This window comes from Homo sapiens, chromosome 1 (assembly GCF_000001405.40).
Source record: "Homo sapiens chromosome 1, GRCh38.p14 Primary Assembly".
In the NCBI taxonomy this organism is placed as follows: Eukaryota; Metazoa; Chordata; class Mammalia; order Primates; family Hominidae; genus Homo; species Homo sapiens.
In genome coordinates this window covers 205474593-205491980 of record NC_000001.11, presented here as the reverse complement: position 1 = coordinate 205491980, position 17388 = coordinate 205474593, and the positions used below count along the sequence as shown (strand labels likewise).

Genomic DNA, 17388 nt, shown 5'->3' with positions numbered 1-17388 from the left:
CCTCAGTGAGGAATGGAAGCAGGTGGTCCATGAGTACCAGGGCTGGGGCTGCCGCCTCAGAAAGGAGTCAGGCCACGGCCACTCCAGAAATCTGGTGAATCCAGAAAGTTGGTGATTTCCCCACCCTTGGCATTGTAATGGAATTCTCCCTGGTGTGATTAGCAATGAATCTTGGAACTCAAAGTGTGATTTCAGGGAGAGGCAGCCAGGAGCTCTCCCTTACCAGTGCGGCCTCGGGGAGAAGCCCTAGGGACAGTGAATTTGGGGTGCTTCAAAAGCAGCAGGCCCAGGTGGGGTGGGGCTTGCTGAGGAGAGAGGGTGGGGGCAGGGAGGGGGCAGTGGTGTGCTGTCCTGAGGAGAACGGGCTTTGCTATGCACCTACTGTGTGTCAGGCACCTTATATACCAGACTACAGTGAATCTTCAGGACAACACGAAGTCACTGTTGTTAGCCAGTTTTACAGATGAGCAAACTGAGGCTCACAGAGGTTATGTGACTTTCCTAGTCACTCAGTGTGAGGCAGAGCATCCAGGTATGAGTCCCAAGCATGTGTGCCTTTTGTAACAGCTCCAGACCCAGGGAGATTCCAGACCCAGGGAGGGATGCCAGCAGCCTAGCACGGGGCAAGTCAAACTCGGGAGGGTGTCTCTGCCACACCTCAGTGTGCCCATCCTCTGGTGCATGCCTGCTTCCTGGCAGCCCCCAAAGACTCTGAATCAGAGGCAGCGCCGCTCAAGAGAGGACATAGGCTCTGAACTCGGAAGACTCTGGATTCCGATGCTACTCATGAGCAGATGTGACCTTGGGCAAGCCATCCACAAAGAGAACCTCGTCACGCCTTCATCTAAGGTTGTTTCATAATTAAATGAGATAATGCATATAAAACATCTGGCACGGACCACATGTGGTGGCTCACGCCTGTAATCCCAGCAATTTGGGAAGCTGAATGGGGAGGATCACTTGAGCCCAGGAATTCAGGACCAGTCTGGGCAACATGGTGAGACTCTGTCCCTACAAAAAATTTAAAAATTAGCCAGGCATGATGACACGTGTCTGTAGTCCCAGCTACATGGGAGGCTGAGGTGGGAGGATCACTTGAACCGCGGAGGTCAAGTCTGCAGTGAGCCGTGATTGTGCCACTGAACTCCAGCCTGGGTGACGGAGTGAGATTCTGTCTCAAAAAATAAATTCATTAATTAATTTAATTAAATAAAAAACTTGGCACATAGTAGGTGCTTAAGAAATGATAGTTCTCTGCAGGGCTGGCTTCCATGGGCACGCATCATGCAGTCTATCAGGTCCTGTTCTCAGAAGGGCCCCACACTCAGAGGGCCTCCTGCTTGTTTTAATGCTTTATTGTTCTCTTGTTTAAATTCTTAATACTTTTTCAACAAGGAGCCTTGCATTTTCATTTTGCATCAGATCCTGCAAATTATCTAGCCCATCTGGGTTATTGGTGTGGGTTTAGTTCCTTGAATCCAGAAAGGACTACCTGTGACCCACACTATGAAACAAGCCACCATTTCATCATTTCGTGATTTTGTCTGCCCAGGAAATGCTTCTCTGCTTATCCTCCGTGCATCTAGCTGTTGCTTATAAGAAATCAGAGTGAGCCAGACAGAACCACAACTCTCCTTCGGCCCCCAGCACCTCCAGGGAGATGAAAGCAGATCATACCCCTGCTTGTTCTGAGGAGAGGGACTTTTGAGGGAGAATCTTGAGCCCTGGTTTCTGGCAATGAAGGGTGGTCTCCCTGATGCCACCAGCCCAACAGCAAGATACTAAATGCCTCACAAGGTTGGAGGCCCCCAGCTCCCAGGGACTCACATCTTCCACCGGGGCCCAGCAGTGTGCTGTGGCCCCTCCCCGCCCACTAGGGTGAGGGCTGTAGGCCGGGGCAGACACAGAGCTCTGAGCAGCAATGTCAGGAAATGATCACCTTGGGAGGCGTTCCAGGAGCTGGAGCTCAGCCCACCACCTCCCTCCACTACAGCCTGCGTGGAAACATCTGACCTCCACAGTGCCTGCCCCTTACCTGTTCTCAGACTCCTATTCCCAGGGGCCCAGGCGTTTGCTAAATTGGCAGTTTTGACCCATCCACTGACCCCTGAGAAGCATCGCTATAGGGGAAATGAAAATCGGGAGGCTGTCTGTCTTCTCTTTCTTTCTCTCTCTGTCTCTCAAAAGACGATTTAAGCCATTTCTAGGTCTAGCAGCCTTTTGCAAGGACACTGGAGTTGGGGGGTGGTGATGAGGGAGAGGACAGTGGAAGAGGAGGCTGAGGTGCAGCTGCAGGACTTGGGGAGGAGAATCATAGGCTGACTCAAAGATTATGAAATATCTCAGCTAGAAGAGACCTTTGAGAAATTGAGGTCAGAGAGGGAAAGTAAGTTGCCCAAAGTCACAGAGCCAGGACTGGAACATGGGTAACCTAATGCCCAGCCCAGGGGTCTTTCCACTTCACCATTTGACTTCAGGATCAGGGACAAACTGGAGGGGTGAGGGAAGAAGAGAGACTTCACCCCTGTCCACCTGCACCACACACACACACACACACACACACACACACATACACACATTTAGATTTATTCTAGATCCAGTTCCTCCTGGACACTGAGGTGTTAAACCCTAGTCAGGTAAAAAGAACATCAAGGTAAGGAGGTATGTGGCTCTGACCCTACCCTTCCATTGGCATGGCCTCTGAAGTCTGAGGTTCCTGGAATGGCATGGTGTGGTACGTGTCTGCCAGGACCCTTCTCCCAACAGCTGATCTTACGTGACTGGTACCTTTCTGAGTCCCAGACTTAGATCTTGGGGCCTCTTCATAGGAAAGAGGGACTTGGAGGGTTTCCCATTCAGGGATGATTTAAAAGATAATAATATTAGTAGCTAGTATTTATAAGCACATTATATGTGCCAAGTGCTGTTCTAAAAACTTTTCTTATATCAACTAATCTAATATTCACACAACCGTTGGAGATAGATACTATCATTACCCCTATTTTATAGTCAAAGAAATGGAAACACAGACAGGTTAGATAGATTGCCCAAGCCTACACAGCTAGTAAACAGTAGAACTGGGATTTGAACCTAGATACCCTACCCTTTGGGCTCCTAGTTAAGTGCTTCTCGCAATGTAACATCTTGATCCCCATCCAGTGAGGTTTTTGTTTTTGCTTTTGTTTGGAGACAGGAGATCTTGTTCTGTTGCCCAGGCTGGAGTGCAGTGGTATGAACACGGCTCACTGCAACCTCACCCTCCTGGGCTCAAGTGATCCTCCTGCCTCAGCCTCCCAAGTCCCAAGTAGCTGGGAACACAGGTGCACACCACCACACCTGGCTAATTTAAAAAAAAAATTTTGTAGAGACATGGTCTCACCATGTCGCTCAGGCAGGTCTTGAACACCTAGACTCAGGCGGTCTGCCCATCTCAGCCTCCCAAATTGCTGGGATTACAGGTGCGAGCCGCAGAGCCTAGCCTCCAGTGAGTTTTTAGTTGAAAGCTACACATAGTTCTACTTCCGTCTGATTCATCTCCATCTACCTCATCCCTCACTCCCCACACCACCTAGGTGCCAGGCACCACTGCCCAACTAGGAAGTAAATCTGAAGTTTGGGAGATCTGCTTCTCTCTCCTGAGTGCCCCTTTCCTGCCCCTCAGAACACCCCTTAGTGGCATATACTGCCACCTCCTGGCCACCAAAGGTTAAGACTGACCCTGTGTGCGTATTTCAGGACTCTGTCCCTGGTACTCAACTTCTCTCTGGATGATGACATCCTCGCCACAGCTACGTGACCACCTATAGCAAGCTAGTCCAGCCTGCAGCCGGTGGGCTGCATGTGGCCCAGGATGGCTTTGAATGTGGCCTAATACAAATTCATAGGCTTTCTTAAAACATTATGAGATTTTTAAAACCTCATCAGCTATTGTTAGTATATTTTCTATGTAGCCCAAGACAGTTCTTCTTCCAATGTAGCCCAGGGAAGCAAAAAGATTGGATAACCCTGATCTATACTCTGTTGATTCCCAAATGTTTATCTCTCTCTGTTTTTAAGAGTCTCGCTCTGTTGCCCAGGTTGAAGTGCAGTGGTGCGATCTCGGCTCACTGCAACATCCACCTCCCAGGTTCGAGTGATTCTTGTGCCTCAGCCTCCCAAGTAGCTGGGGTTACAGGTGCGTGCCACCACGCCCGGCTAATTTTTGTATTTTTTAGTAGATACAGGGTTTCACCATGTTGGCCAGGCTAGTCTCAAACTCCTGACCTCAATGGATCCACCTGCCTCGGCCTCCCAACGTGCTGGGTTTACAGGCATGAGCCACTGTGCCAGGCCCCAAATGTTGATCTCTTTAGAGATCCAGGTCTATCCTGATGCAAATGCAAATGGCTCGAGCCCTCCAGTACCTGTAACTTCCCTCAAGTCACAGGGCTACAAAACGCAGAGCTGGAACCAGACCCCGGGGCACCTGGATACTTACTCAGTGCTCACATCACAGCACCACACTGCTTCTCCAACACTAGCATGAAACATGGACACAATGAGTGCCCAGAGAGGGAAAGGATAAAGATCACATGCTGGCTGGTGGGAGAGTCAGGATTTAGATCCAAGTTAGAGCGGTGGCAAAACAAGTCTGCTTTCTCTAGCGTGCCATGTCTGTTCTGCGGGTTTGCAGAAGGCAAATAGCTCTTTTTTTCTTTCTTTTTTTTTTTTCTGAGACAGAGTCTCACTCTGTTACCCAGGCTGGAGTGCAATGGCACAACCCTGGCTCACTGCAACCTCCGCCTCCCAGGTTCAAGCGATTCTCATGCCTCAGCCTCCCAAGTAGCTGGCGTTACAGGCGTCCACCACCAGGCCTGGCTAATTTTTTTTTGTATTTTTAGTAGAGATGGGGTTTCGCCATGTTGGCCAGGCTGGTCTTGAACTCCTGACCTCAGGTGATCCACCTGCCTTGGCCTCCCAAAGTGTTGGGGTTACAGGTGTGAGCCACTGTTTTAAGAGCAAATGGCTCTTAAAACACACAGATGTTGAGGTGAGGTGTGAGGCAAGCTGAAGGATGGGTGACCGTCGGTGGTCGGAAAAGTCTTTGTGGCTGAGGAGTGAGGGCAAAGGGGCATGTGCTGGCACTTCCTGCGGCCGACTGTGACAATGGAATGAAAAGTCCCCTGGAAGGGAGGACAGAGAGTTGAGGGCAGGACCTTGGGTTCTGGCATCACAGAGGGCACTGGAAGAAGAAATGGAACAAGGGAAAGGGACTTGAAACAGTCACACGAGAGGAGCTGAAGTATCAATACTTCAGAGATGGACTCCTGCATCTTAGGGCAGGGATCGGGAAATCACTGCCTGCCTCTGTTTTTGGACCGCCTGAAAGCTAAGAATGGTTTTTACTTTCTTACACGGCTGAAAAAAAAATCCAAAAAGAAAAACAATCTTTCATGACACATGACAATTTATAAAAACTGGAATTCTAGTGTCTATAAATAAAGTTTTATTGGAACGCTGCCGTGCTCATTCACTTATGCATTGTCTGTGACTGCTTCCTGCTACAACGGCAGAGTTGAGTAGCTGCAACAGAAACCACAGGGCCCACAAAGCTTAAAATGTTTATTATCCCACCCTTTACAGAAAAGCTTGCCAACCCTACCTCAGAGGATAAGGGTCATGGGCCACAGGTTTGGCCCCCATGTTGGAAGGGAAGTTCAAGCTGCAGACAGAGACAGAGGGGAAGGGGGTGGGTTTTCAGGAGGCCTTTGTCAGAACACCAGCTGTCCTGATTTTCTTTTCTTTCTTTCTTTTTTCTCTTTTTTTTTTATTTTGAGATGGGGCCTCACTATGTTGCCCAGGCTGGTCTCGAACTCCTGGGCATAAGCGATCCTCCTGCCTCGGCCTCGCCTCTCAAAGTGCTGGGATTATAGGCATCAGCCACCGTGCCTGGCTTTCTTGACAATGAGCCCACATCCTCCACACCCCCGGCTCCATGAGACCTGGCCTAGAGGGACTCAGACCCCCACTCCACACACACTCTGGTGTGGAGAGGAAGCCCAGCCCCAACATTATGGCTTTGAGTGATTCCATACCCTCTAAGCCTTAGGATCCACCTCTGTAAGATGAGAATAATAATGCAAACCTTGAAAGGTTGTTGAGAATTCCAAAAGATAACAAAGTTCATGCCACAGTTGTTGGTGCCAGATGGCGTTCTGCAATCTGTAGATCTTGCTGCTGTTAGGCCAGGCAGCCCGCAGCCAGCTTCTGAAGCCCGCAGGCTTCAGAAGTGGGTGCACCTCCTAACTATGTCCACTAGAGGGCAGGAAGTCCCTGCTGGCGGCCAGGAGGGTGTCAGATGGAGCTGGTCCGCAGGTCCCCCTTCCTGGGGAGAGGTGCCCTCCCCTGCTGTTTACAACCCTGGCCTTTGATCAGCTTCTGTTCTCCCCATGGCCTGCTGAGGGCCAGACGGGTGCACAGCCTCCCGCTGGGGGCGGGCCAGGCTTCCTTCTTGCCCTTTCGCCTCTCCCACTGGCAGGCCAGACTGAGGCCAGGCCACTGGATACACACTCCTTGGCCAGTCTATTTGCAGAGTTTTGCAAAGCCCTTCCATGCACATTGCCTTATGTGCTCCTCCAACAGCCCAGGGATGCAGGCAGAGCAGGTAACATGATACCCCTTCATCGAGGTGAGGAAACCAAAGCTCAGAGAGGCTAAGTGACTTCTCCAAGATCCCACGGCGGGTGAGCAGGGTGGCTGGGATCGTAGCTGGTGTCTTCTCCTCCTCCTCCTCCTCCTCCTCCTCCTCCTCCTTCTTCTCCTTCTTCTCCTTCTTCTCCCTCTCCTTCTCCTTCTCCTCCTCCTTCTTCTTCTCCTTCTCCTCCTCCTCCTTCTTCTTCTTCTCCTTCTTCTCCTCCCTCTCCTGCTCCTTCTCCTTCTCCTCCTCTTCCTCCTTCTTCTTCTCCTTCTTCTTCCTTTTTTTTTTTTTTTTTTTTTGAGACATAGTTTCACTTTTGTTGCCCAGGCTGGAGTGCAATGGCCTGATCTCGGCTCACTGCAACCTCCGCCTCCCGGGTTCAAGTGATTCTCCTGCCTCAGCCTCCCGAGTAGCTGGGATTACAGGCATGCGCCACCACACACGGCTAATTTTATATTTTTAGTAGCAATTGGGTTCCTCCATGTTGGTCAGGTTGGTCTGGAACTCCGGACCTCAGGTGATCCGCCCGCCTCAGCCTCCCAAAGTGGTGGGGTTACAGGCGTGAGCCACCATGCCTGGTCATAGCTGGTGTCTTCTGATGCCAGGTTGTGGCTCTCTCCTGTAAGCAGGCTGCCCTTAACAACCGCACCCTCCCTGAGGAGGCTCTAATGTCTGCAGTTTCTTTCAATGGTCCTGCTCCTGACCTCCTCCCTGGTAAAACACCAAACCACCCTTTCTGCCCTCTCAGAACTCAGAATGGTGCAAGGTGCTTCCATGCACAGGAGCTCATTTCTACCAAGAACAGGCTCCCCCAGGGCATTTGAGGACAGCGACTCTTATCTCAAGGGGCTTTGGATGCAGTTGGGAATACAAAGGCAGACAGTTCTACACACACAAAAATGGGAGGCTGGGCAGTGACTCTGAGGGCCAGGCAACTGACCCAGACAGTGACAGAGAGATTGTGGGGCTGTGGTGGTCAGGGAAGGCTGCCAGGAGCATGGGGACCTTTGGGAAGCTACAGGGGAGTGAAGAGGCAGGAACGCTCAGGGTCTTTCTAGGTATATGGTGAACCAGACAGACATCTGTACCAGACGGCAGAGCGAAGCCCATCAAGTTAGAGCAGGCTGGTTCTCAGAGAGCTTCAAATGCCAGGCGAAGGGAGGTCAATTTGGTCATGTGAGAGACGGGGAGTCATTGAAGGTGTTTGAGGGAGGGGGGACAGGAAGCAGTGGCATTTCAGGAAGGCTGACATCCAAGTGAGGAGGAGACTGGGAGCATGTCTGGGACTGAAGAGTAGACTAATTTTTCTTTTAATTTTTGTAGACTAGGGGAGTATGTTTCTGTGGCCCAGGCTTAAGGTAACTAACTGTAGACGCAACGGAGAACTGCCAGGATGTCCTGCAGGATGTGATGTTGGGGGTAAAGGAGAAGGACCAGCCCAACATGGGAATAACTGGAGAGTCAAGCAATGTGTGTGTGTGTGTGTGTGTGTGTGTGTGTGTGTGTGTGTGTGTGTCGGGGGACGGGCGTGTGATGTCAGGGAAAGGATCATTAGTTCTTTTTATATGAGGGTTAATTTGAGGACATCAAGTAGAAATGCTTCGTGAACAGATCAAGATACAGGACAGGATGTTGGAAGACAGTCAGGGCTTCAGTGTGGATAAGGAGGGAATCAGCCACAGGGGCATGGTCTTGCAGCCGGGGAGGGACTCTGGATGCAGGGGGAGCCAGTGTGGAGAGGGAGGCTGAGGCCAGCAGGAAGAGAACTAGAGGTGGGAGGGGTCAGGGCAAGGGTATGTGTTGAGGTCTCCCCAGTGGCCAGTCCCCTTCTCCACCTCAGCAGCTCCTATTTTCATTTGGAAGATCCTGGCAACTCTGGGGACAGAAGGGATCTCTGGCTGTGGAGTGGAGCACATGGTATCATGATTGATTCGAGGGGGACATGTCTCCTAAGTCTTGCCAACCAGAGACTTACAGGGCTTTTGAATGACACCCTGGGACAAGAAGCTCTTTCTATCACTGTGTGAAGGAAGAGGCAGGTGGCACCAAGAGCAGCAGCCTGGGAGGGAGCATGAGGCTGAGGAAGACAGAGGGGCAGAAAGAAAGAACTAGCCCTATGTGACATCCCTGCGTTGCTCCATCAGTCCTTGCTGGAACCATTTGTGAATGAATAGATGTCCTGTATTTTTTAGCCTGTTAGGTAGAGAGCTTTTCTGTTTCCTGCAAATAGAAGATTCCTAATTCCTATGGAAGATGCAAGAGAGCCTGAAGAATATTGCTTTCAATAATTAAGGAAGAACATTTCAAAATGGAAGAAGGGGTGAATAGTATCAAATGCTGAGAGTGTCAGATCAGAGACTTTTCTGAGGGGGAGCGGTTCTGAGGGGGAGCGGTGAGGGAGAACAGGGTCTTGCTCTGTTGCCCAGGCTGGAGTGTAGTGGTTTGATCGCGGCTCACTGTAGCCTCGACGTCCCGGGCTCAAGCGATCCTCCCACCTCAGCCTCCCAAATAGCTGGGACTACAGACATGTACCACCATGCCTGACTAATTTTTTTTAATTTTTGTAGAGATGGGGTCTTGCTATATTGCCCAGGCTGGTCTCAAACTCCTGGGTTCAAGCGATCCTCCTGCCTTAGCCTCCCAAAGTGCTAGGATTACAAGCGTGAGCCACCGCACCCAGCCCAGAGATGTTTTATAGTTACTCAAAAACTGTGTGACAGAAAAGGAACCTGGGGGTCAGAGAGGCTTCTAGAATCTGGCAGCCCCTACAGCCAGGACTCAGAACTCCCAGTCTGATCAGTTACCTCAAGGAGGAAAGGGAGATGTTTCCCCTTGGGGGAGCTATTTCCAGAGCTCCTCCTCACCCATGTCTTTGCTGTAGCCCTCCCTCCCCCAAGCCCAGCCCCACTCAACTCCTTTCCAGGGGCTCAGTGGCCATCTCCCTGCCCCCAGGCCAAACTCACCTGACTGTACCTCAGATAGAAGAATAGCTAATATTTTTAAAACTGTTTAGGGAAAAAGAAACCACCTTCCTCTTTACTTGCCACCCCAACACTGGGACAGTTCTTCCTCATGTCTAACCTAATTCCCTTCAGCTGGGAGGGACCCATCAGTGCTCCCACTGACCCACCCTTGTTGGGGGGCCTGTAGGGCATCTGAAGGTGACACACTGGACAAGGAAAGAGAGGCAGGCAGGCAATAGGAGTGGCTGCAGAGGCAGACGGGCGTCCTGCCCCAAATACGGCCCCCCGGGCTGCTGCGGCGAGGGCTGGGCTCTTCCTGAGCGGATTACCACTGTGGTCTAAGTGACTGAAGCTGCTGAGAATGCTATTGTAGCAAGAGGCTTACCGAAATGTAGACACCCAGCCCTGGCATGTCCCGACACACAGATGGGAAAATAAGCAGAATAAGCTCCCGGTGCTAAGCCGCTCTATTGTCCTGTTGCTGCTAAAACACCTTGCTGGGCTTTCTGCCAAGCGCCCACCCCTCCAGCACTGCTCACTGTGGCTCTGTGGGCTTCCCCTCTCCTGATGGCAGAGAGGCCGCCCTGCAGGAAGGTGACACAGGGAGGTCGACAGCCCACATGTCCGGCTGCCAGGCTATGCTGTTGAGCCTGAGTATGACAGAGGAGATGCATGCAGTTGGGTAACATGCCCAAGGTCACACAGCAGCACAGTAGCAGGGCCAGGGTTAGCATCTAGATTCCTAACCTCTGGTGAGAGGTCTCTCCCAGGCACCCTGGGTCCCATCTCATCCCAAGCTCTGTCTGCCACAAATCCCCCTTCCTGATTCCCCTACACACCCAGTTCTTTCCCTGCCACAGCCCAGGTGGCTGCCCTCTAGGAACCCTGATGAGCAGACTTGCAACAGATCAGTGTGCAGGTCGGCACGGGATCTTCCTCAATTCGGTGTTGGTTCACTTAACGGGGATGGAGTCACAGGCTGTGGCCACACGACGTGGAGGGAGATCAAGTCCCCACTGCTGCCAGGGGAAAACAGACTAGAAAACTCCCATCCCAGCATCTGAGGACATTAAGGGCAGGCCGGAAATGGGAGCGGATCTGCGATGCCCACTCCACGGGAGGCGAACTGTTGCTTCAGGGAGGAGGCCCTGGTGCCACACAGGTGCAAGGACTTGGGAACCCAGAGGAAGCACTGGGGCTTTCCAGGAGTCTGGTGGCTCTAGAATGGAGGGAGGAGGGGGGTGAGGAAGATGGGGCTGGGGGAGGGGGCAGGGTGGGTGGGGAGAAGATGGGTTTGGTGTAGCAGCAGGGCTGTGGGGTTCTACTGACTGCTGTGCACCTCCACCTGGGCGTCCCGCAAATACTTCCAAGACAACACACCCCAACCTCAACTCAGCGTCACTCCGACAGCCTTTCTCCTGTGTTCGGTGGCCTGGCCGGTGGCGCACCCTCCCCCAAGCACCCAGCCAGAGATCGGAAAGCCCCTCTTCACACCTCCCTCTTCACAAGCTTTCATTTCCTGCCAGTCACACATTTTGCCAAGTTTACCTTCTTGGTTTTTCTCAAATTCATCCTGCCCTCTCCCACCGCTGCCTTGGACCTCTTCTCACCTGGCTGCAGCAACAGCCTCCTGGCTGCCCTCGCGCCTCACCCCTGAAACCCATCCTCCATGCGGCCTCCAGCCTCATCCCTCTTTCCCGTTCAAACTTCCAGGGTCTCCGCATCCCCTGGGAGAGCATTTTAGGCTCCTTAGTATGACCAAAAGGATGTCTATGGTTTGACTCCTGCTTGCCACAGCCGTGCAGTATGGTGGTTAGAAGCACAGATGCTGGAGCCGGATTTCCTGGGTTCAAATCCTATCTGTGGCTGGGCGCAGTGGCTCACACCTGTAATCCCTGCATTTTGGGAGGCCGAGGCAGGCAGATCACTTGAGGTCAGGAGTTCGAGATCAGCCTGGCCAACTTGGTAAAACTCCACCTCTACTAAAAATACAAAAAATTAGCCCAGTGTGGTGGTGCACGCCTGTAATCCTAGCTACTCTGGAGGCTGAGACAGGAGAATAGCTTGAACCCGGGAAGTGGAAGTTGCAAGAGCTGAGATCACACCACTGCACTCCAGCCTGGGTGACAGAGCAAGACTCTGTCTCAAAAAAAAAAAAAAAACCTACCTGTTACTTTCTAGCTGTGTGTCCGAGGCAAGTCACTGAACCTCTCTGTGCCAATGGTTTTCTCACCTATGAAATCGGTATTTTAAGAGTACCTGCCTCATAAACTTGTTGCGAGGATTGAATGAGTTTTTCTGTGTAGAAGCAGTTAGAACTGGAATTATTACCCCCCTACCCCTGCCAGCCTGGCTTCTTCTCCTGCCCCTCTCTGTCTCACACGTTTGTATCCACAGCTCAGCTTTTCTTGTAATTCTCTCTCTAGCAATTGTGCCATTTCTCAGCTCAGTGTCTGGGCCCCTCAAAGGGATAACTTCACCCTGCAGTCATCAGTCCACCCCCAAGAGCCACTGGTCTCCCCCGTGGCTTGGCTCTCCCTAGCACGTGGCTGCCTGCTTTCTTCTCTGTCTCCCCTGCTGCACTAGAGGTCCTTGAGGGCGGATCTGGGTTCCTGGTGCCTAAATCCTGCGTGGTACACAGGAGGCCCTTGATAAATATGTGTGGAACGAATGGTTGCAACATTGTTCCTGGAGAGTTCTCAGAACTCTCTGAGAGTTTGTAGTGAGGAGTGAGGGTGCTTATGAATGAAGCTTCACCCTGCCCCCCCACCCCCCACCACCCCACCCCCCTCCCCATCACCATGGTCCTGGGGATACATGTTAACATTCATGCCCTGCCCAGGTGTGATGGCTCATGGGGGAACTTGGAGACTTAGGAGATAGACAGGCAATGAAATAAGTGTGGTGATCAAGCAAGTATGGACTATAATGGAATGAATAAAATAAATGGTGGAGAGGCCTCATTGGGACCCCCAGGACTGCCCTCTGCTCATGTGGTGATATTGGCACCAAAGACAGGGTGTCTTAGCCAGGAGTAGCTCACTTCTGTCATCCCAGCACTTTGGGAGGGTAAGGTGGGAGGATTGCTTGAACCCAGAGTTCGAGACCAGCCTGGGCAACATAGCAAGACCCCACTTCTGCAAAAAATTAAAAAATTAGCCTGGCATGGTGGCACACACCTGTAGTCCCAGCTACTCGGGAGGCTGAGGTGGAAGGACAGCTTAAGCCCAGGAGTTTGAGGCTGCAGTGGGCCAAGACTGTGCCACTGCACTCCAGCCTGGGCAACAGAGCAAGACCCTGTCTCAAAAAAAATTTTTTTTTTTGAGACATGGTGTCTTGTGGTTACAGATTCTTGGCACCATGGCCCTCCTCCCTCCCTGCCCTCCCATGCCAAGGGCCAACATTGCTGCCCTTTAGTACCTGGAAGGGCTTCACACCATTAAGGGCTTAATATCATGAGGCCCCAAGGCCCCTGCCAGCTCACTGTGTTTAGAGCCATATTTAAATCAGTTCAATGCCTCTGGGAAGAGAAAGCCAGCTGCCCGGTGATCCCTCACTACCTCTCCAGGCAGCTCAGAGATGCCCTCTGAGCTTCTTCCTCCTGGGTTCATCTGGAAGCAATCTAACATTGTTTAAAAGCTAGCCTTGACAGGCAGATCAATTGAGGTCAGGAGTTTGAGACCAGCCTGGCCAACATGGAGAAACCCTGCCTCTACTGAAAAATACAATAATTAGCCGGGTGTGGTGGTGCATGCCTGTAATCCCAGCTACTCTGGAGGCTAAGGCACGAGAATCACTTGAACCCAGGAGGCGGAGGTTGCAGTGAGCCAAGATAGCACCACTGCACTCCAGCCTGGGTGATAGAGTGAGACTCAGTCTCAAATAAATAAATAGATAAATAAATAAAAGCTAGGCTCGAGCTGGACAGCTGGACAGCCTGGGTTTGAATCCTACCTCGACCCTGTAGTAGTTGGGTGGCCCTGGACAAATGTCCTCACCTCTCTGAGCCTCAGCTTCCGTATTTGTAATGAGACCTCCACCATGGAGCTGTGCAACTACATGACCTAATGTACATAAAGTGCTTACAGCAGTGCCTGCGTGTGATTAGCTCTGTTTTATGAACAATGCCCTTGCTTTTACTACATTGCGTTCTGTGTTACTTGCTCTGCTCTCCTGAGTCCTTGTGGGCAGTACCCTCTAGCTTCCTCATTCATCTTGGTATCCCCAGGGCCTGGCACAGTGCCTGGCTCAGAGCAAGGAGGCCAAAAATATTTGTGGAGTGACGTCTGACTTAACCGTCAGAATGAGCACTGGAATGGGCTGGAGCCAACAGCCAGTGCTGCCCACAGGTGGGCAGGGGCACGCTGCCTGGGGAGGGGTGTGAGGGAAGCGGGCCAGGACCAAGGGAGGCCCAGTCAGGGGATGCTTGGTGCTGCTTTTCCTGCTTGCAGATCCCAAGGCGCAGTGGCCATCTGCCGGGGGCGGGAAAGGCAGGCCCGTCCTCCGAAGCAGGTGCCCAGGCAGGTAGAGTCTGGAGCCAGCCTAGAGGATTTACAGTTCTGCCACTGAGCGCCTGGACCAGGGACAGCTAGAGGGAATCCACATGGCCCTGCAGAATGGAGGGGGCAGCTGGCCAGGCCAGGCCTGGGACAGAGGGCACCCCTGGAACTGCCAGGGTTTGAGGAAGGAGGGGCAGTCCTGATGGTTAACCCCTCAGGGGGAAGGGCAGAGGATGTACCCTGCTGGAAGGACTGAGAATGTCAGCAGACAGCCAGCCCTGTGCCTCACCACACTCCCAGGAGACCCGGGCCAAGGTGGGAAGGAGCCTGCTCTGAACCTTACGGGGCTGTGACAGTCCCAGGGCTCACACCCTGCTCACCAGTGTGCTCCTCACCCCACATACAGCTTCGCAGGCACACCTGGGGCCGCGGGGTCTTCATCCTTGGAGCTCAGCTAGGCCATAGCAGGTAGGGGTGGGGGATGGGGGCAGGGATCTGACAGTCTCACTCAGTTGAGGGGGATGTTGAGTCATAGATGTTGGGAAGCCCATTCTAATGGTGATGGGAGTGATCTAAGTCCCTCAAGGACTGGCTTTCTTGCTAACAGATGAGAAAGGGTCTGGCATGTTGGATCATGGGTGAGGGGTGTCCTCTGCTCTAAACCTGCTCAGGGTCGGGCTCCATTTTCTCTTCTCAGCCTTTGAACCCCAAAAGATGGGACTGGCCAACCAATGGACAGCTGAAGATGTCGGCCAAATCCCTGCGGGTGGGGACACCCTGCAGAGTGACAGTGACCTGCTGCAGGAACCCCATACCACACACATATAAACACACTACACGTATACACACACACACCACACATACACCACACACATATACACACACACATGCATATGTACAGCACACACCATATATATACCATACATACTACATACACACACTGTACACATACACACACACACCGCACAGCACACATATACACACACTACACATATATACACACACAGCATTCACACCACACATACTACACACACATCACACACACACACCCCCAACCCCATACACACCACACACATCCCTTTCCCTCCCTCACCATCTCACTAACACACATACACACCACTCTGCTCCTTTCACAAGCTAACAATTGCAACAGACATGCCTGCCGGACTTAATGTTTCCCGTAGGGAATGAGGTGGTGGTCAAGGCCTGGCTTGTGGGAATGGAGGTATGGTTCTATTAGCAGTTGTGTGTATGTGACATATTAAACCTGAGTTTGCTGTTGTTCAATATTCAGTCATTCAACATGTATTTCCACACTGATTAAACACTTACTATGTGCTAGGCACAATTCTAGGTTCTAGGGAATCCTAGTTGAGGTTTCCCAAGAAGTGAACCTTGAGACAAGGGCTTTAAAAAAATTAAAAAGCTTTATTGAGATATAACTCACATACCATATAATTTACCCCTTCAAAGTGTATAATGTGGTGATTTTTAGTATATTAAGAGTTGTGCAACCATCACAATTTTAGAACACTTTCATCACCCTATAAAGAAACCTCATACACATTAGCAGTTATTCCCATTCTCCTCTTCCCCTGACCCCTAGCAATCACAAATATAGTTGTTGTGTCTATAGATTTCCCTATTCTGGACTTTCATATCAATGGAATCATACAATATGTGGCCCTTTGTGACTAGCTTCATTCATCTAGCATAATGTTTTCAAAGTTCATCCATGTTGTAGCATGTATTAGTACTTCATTCCTTTCTATGGCTGAATACTATTCCATTGTATGGATGTACCACATTTAGCTTATTCATTCACCATTTCATGGACATTTGGGTGGTTTCCACTTTCTTGCTATTATGGATTATGCTGCTATAAATATTTATGTACAAGTTTTTGTGCGGACATATGTTTCAATTCTTTCAGGTATAGATACCTAGTGGAAATGTTGGGTCATATGGTAGCTCCATATTTAACATTTTGGGAACCTGCCAAACTATCCTCCAAAGCAGCTACGCCATTTTACATTCCCACCAGCAACGTATGAAGCATTCCAATTTGAAATAAAGTTTTAACTGTAGAATTTTATTTAGGAAGTGATCCCAGGATATACCAGGAGTGGAATAGGGAAGGGAAACTGGGAAGGGAAGGCAGCCCATAAAGGATCATTATCAGGAAAATTACCCCTGGGAGTCATCAAAGCTCAAGGCCACTGAGTAACTCTGGGAGCCAGGTTAGAACGGGCACCACAGAATCATTTTACCTGGGAAACAAAGGGGTAGAGGTATGTTATACACCAGCTCCCAACAACGATTAGTTTCTACCCTAATCATCATCACCCACTGAGGCAACCAACCAGAACACCTCAATCCAAGCTCATACTTCTTATTTTACACACTAGTAGGATCCCTTCCTCTACTTATAACACTTGTTTATACTCAAAATACCTCAGGTTCACTAAATATGCTAGTAATAATACTTGCTACCCGAGAGCTATTAACTGCCATTGGTTGAGGGTTTCTGGGGTGTGTGTTAGTTTTCTGAGAATTACCTTTTGCTGGATGCAAGGTGTATTAGTCCGTTTTCACACCGCTATAAAGAACTGCCTGAGACTGGGTAATTTAAAAAGGAAAGAGATTTAATTGACTCACAGTTCTGCAGGGCTGGGGAGACCTCAGGAAACTTGCAATCATGGCAGAAGGGGAAACAAACATGTCCTTCTTCACATGGCAGCAGGAAGGAGAAGAATGAGAGCTGACCAAAGGGGGAATTCTGCTCCTTATAAAACCATCAGATCTCTGGTGAGAACACACTATCATGAAAACAGTATGGGGGAACCACCTCCATGATTCGATTATCTCCACCTGGTCCCGCCCTTGACACATGGGGATTATTACAAGTCAAGGTGAGATCTGAGTAGGAACGCAGAGCCAAGCCATATCACAAGGCAAGCAAAGCAGGTACCGCAGGAGAAAGCCATCTGGCAAAGAAAGGCAGATGCTGGTGGATGGTTAAGCACTGCTCTGTAGTTAGAGCAAAGGAGGTGAGCAGAGTACCAACAGCACCTACTACCTGGGGTGAACCAAAGTTCCTGCCCTCATGGAGCTTACACTCTAATGAAAGAGCCATAAACAAACATATGTACTATACAGTCAGGTAGCACCAGAAGGGAAAAAGCAGGTCAGGGGTTGGAGAGGGATGGGGGATGCTGTGTTAGCTTAGGTGGTCAGGGCAGGCATCTCT

The 17388-nt window shown here is 50.9% G+C and overlaps 3 annotated features.

Annotated features, from left to right (window-relative positions):
* Positions 497-1148: an enhancer, noted in NCBI's record as "H3K4me1 hESC enhancer chr1:205459961-205460612 (GRCh37/hg19 assembly coordinates)". NCBI's record gives its function as "activates a minimal SCP1, AML or CMV promoter by ChIP-STARR-seq in primed H9 embryonic stem cells {active_cell/tissue: H9 hESC(primed)}" and the evidence as "EXISTENCE:reporter gene assay evidence [ECO:0000049][PMID:30033119]".
* Positions 10107-10707: an enhancer, noted in NCBI's record as "H3K4me1 hESC enhancer chr1:205450402-205451002 (GRCh37/hg19 assembly coordinates)". NCBI's record gives its function as "activates a minimal SCP1, AML or CMV promoter by ChIP-STARR-seq in naive H9 embryonic stem cells {active_cell/tissue: H9 hESC(naive)}" and the evidence as "EXISTENCE:reporter gene assay evidence [ECO:0000049][PMID:30033119]".
* Positions 10883-10942: a silencer, noted in NCBI's record as "silent region_1741". NCBI's record gives its function as "represses an Ori minimal core promoter by ATAC-STARR-seq in GM12878 lymphoblastoid cells {active_cell/tissue: GM12878}" and the evidence as "EXISTENCE:reporter gene assay evidence [ECO:0000049][PMID:35858748]".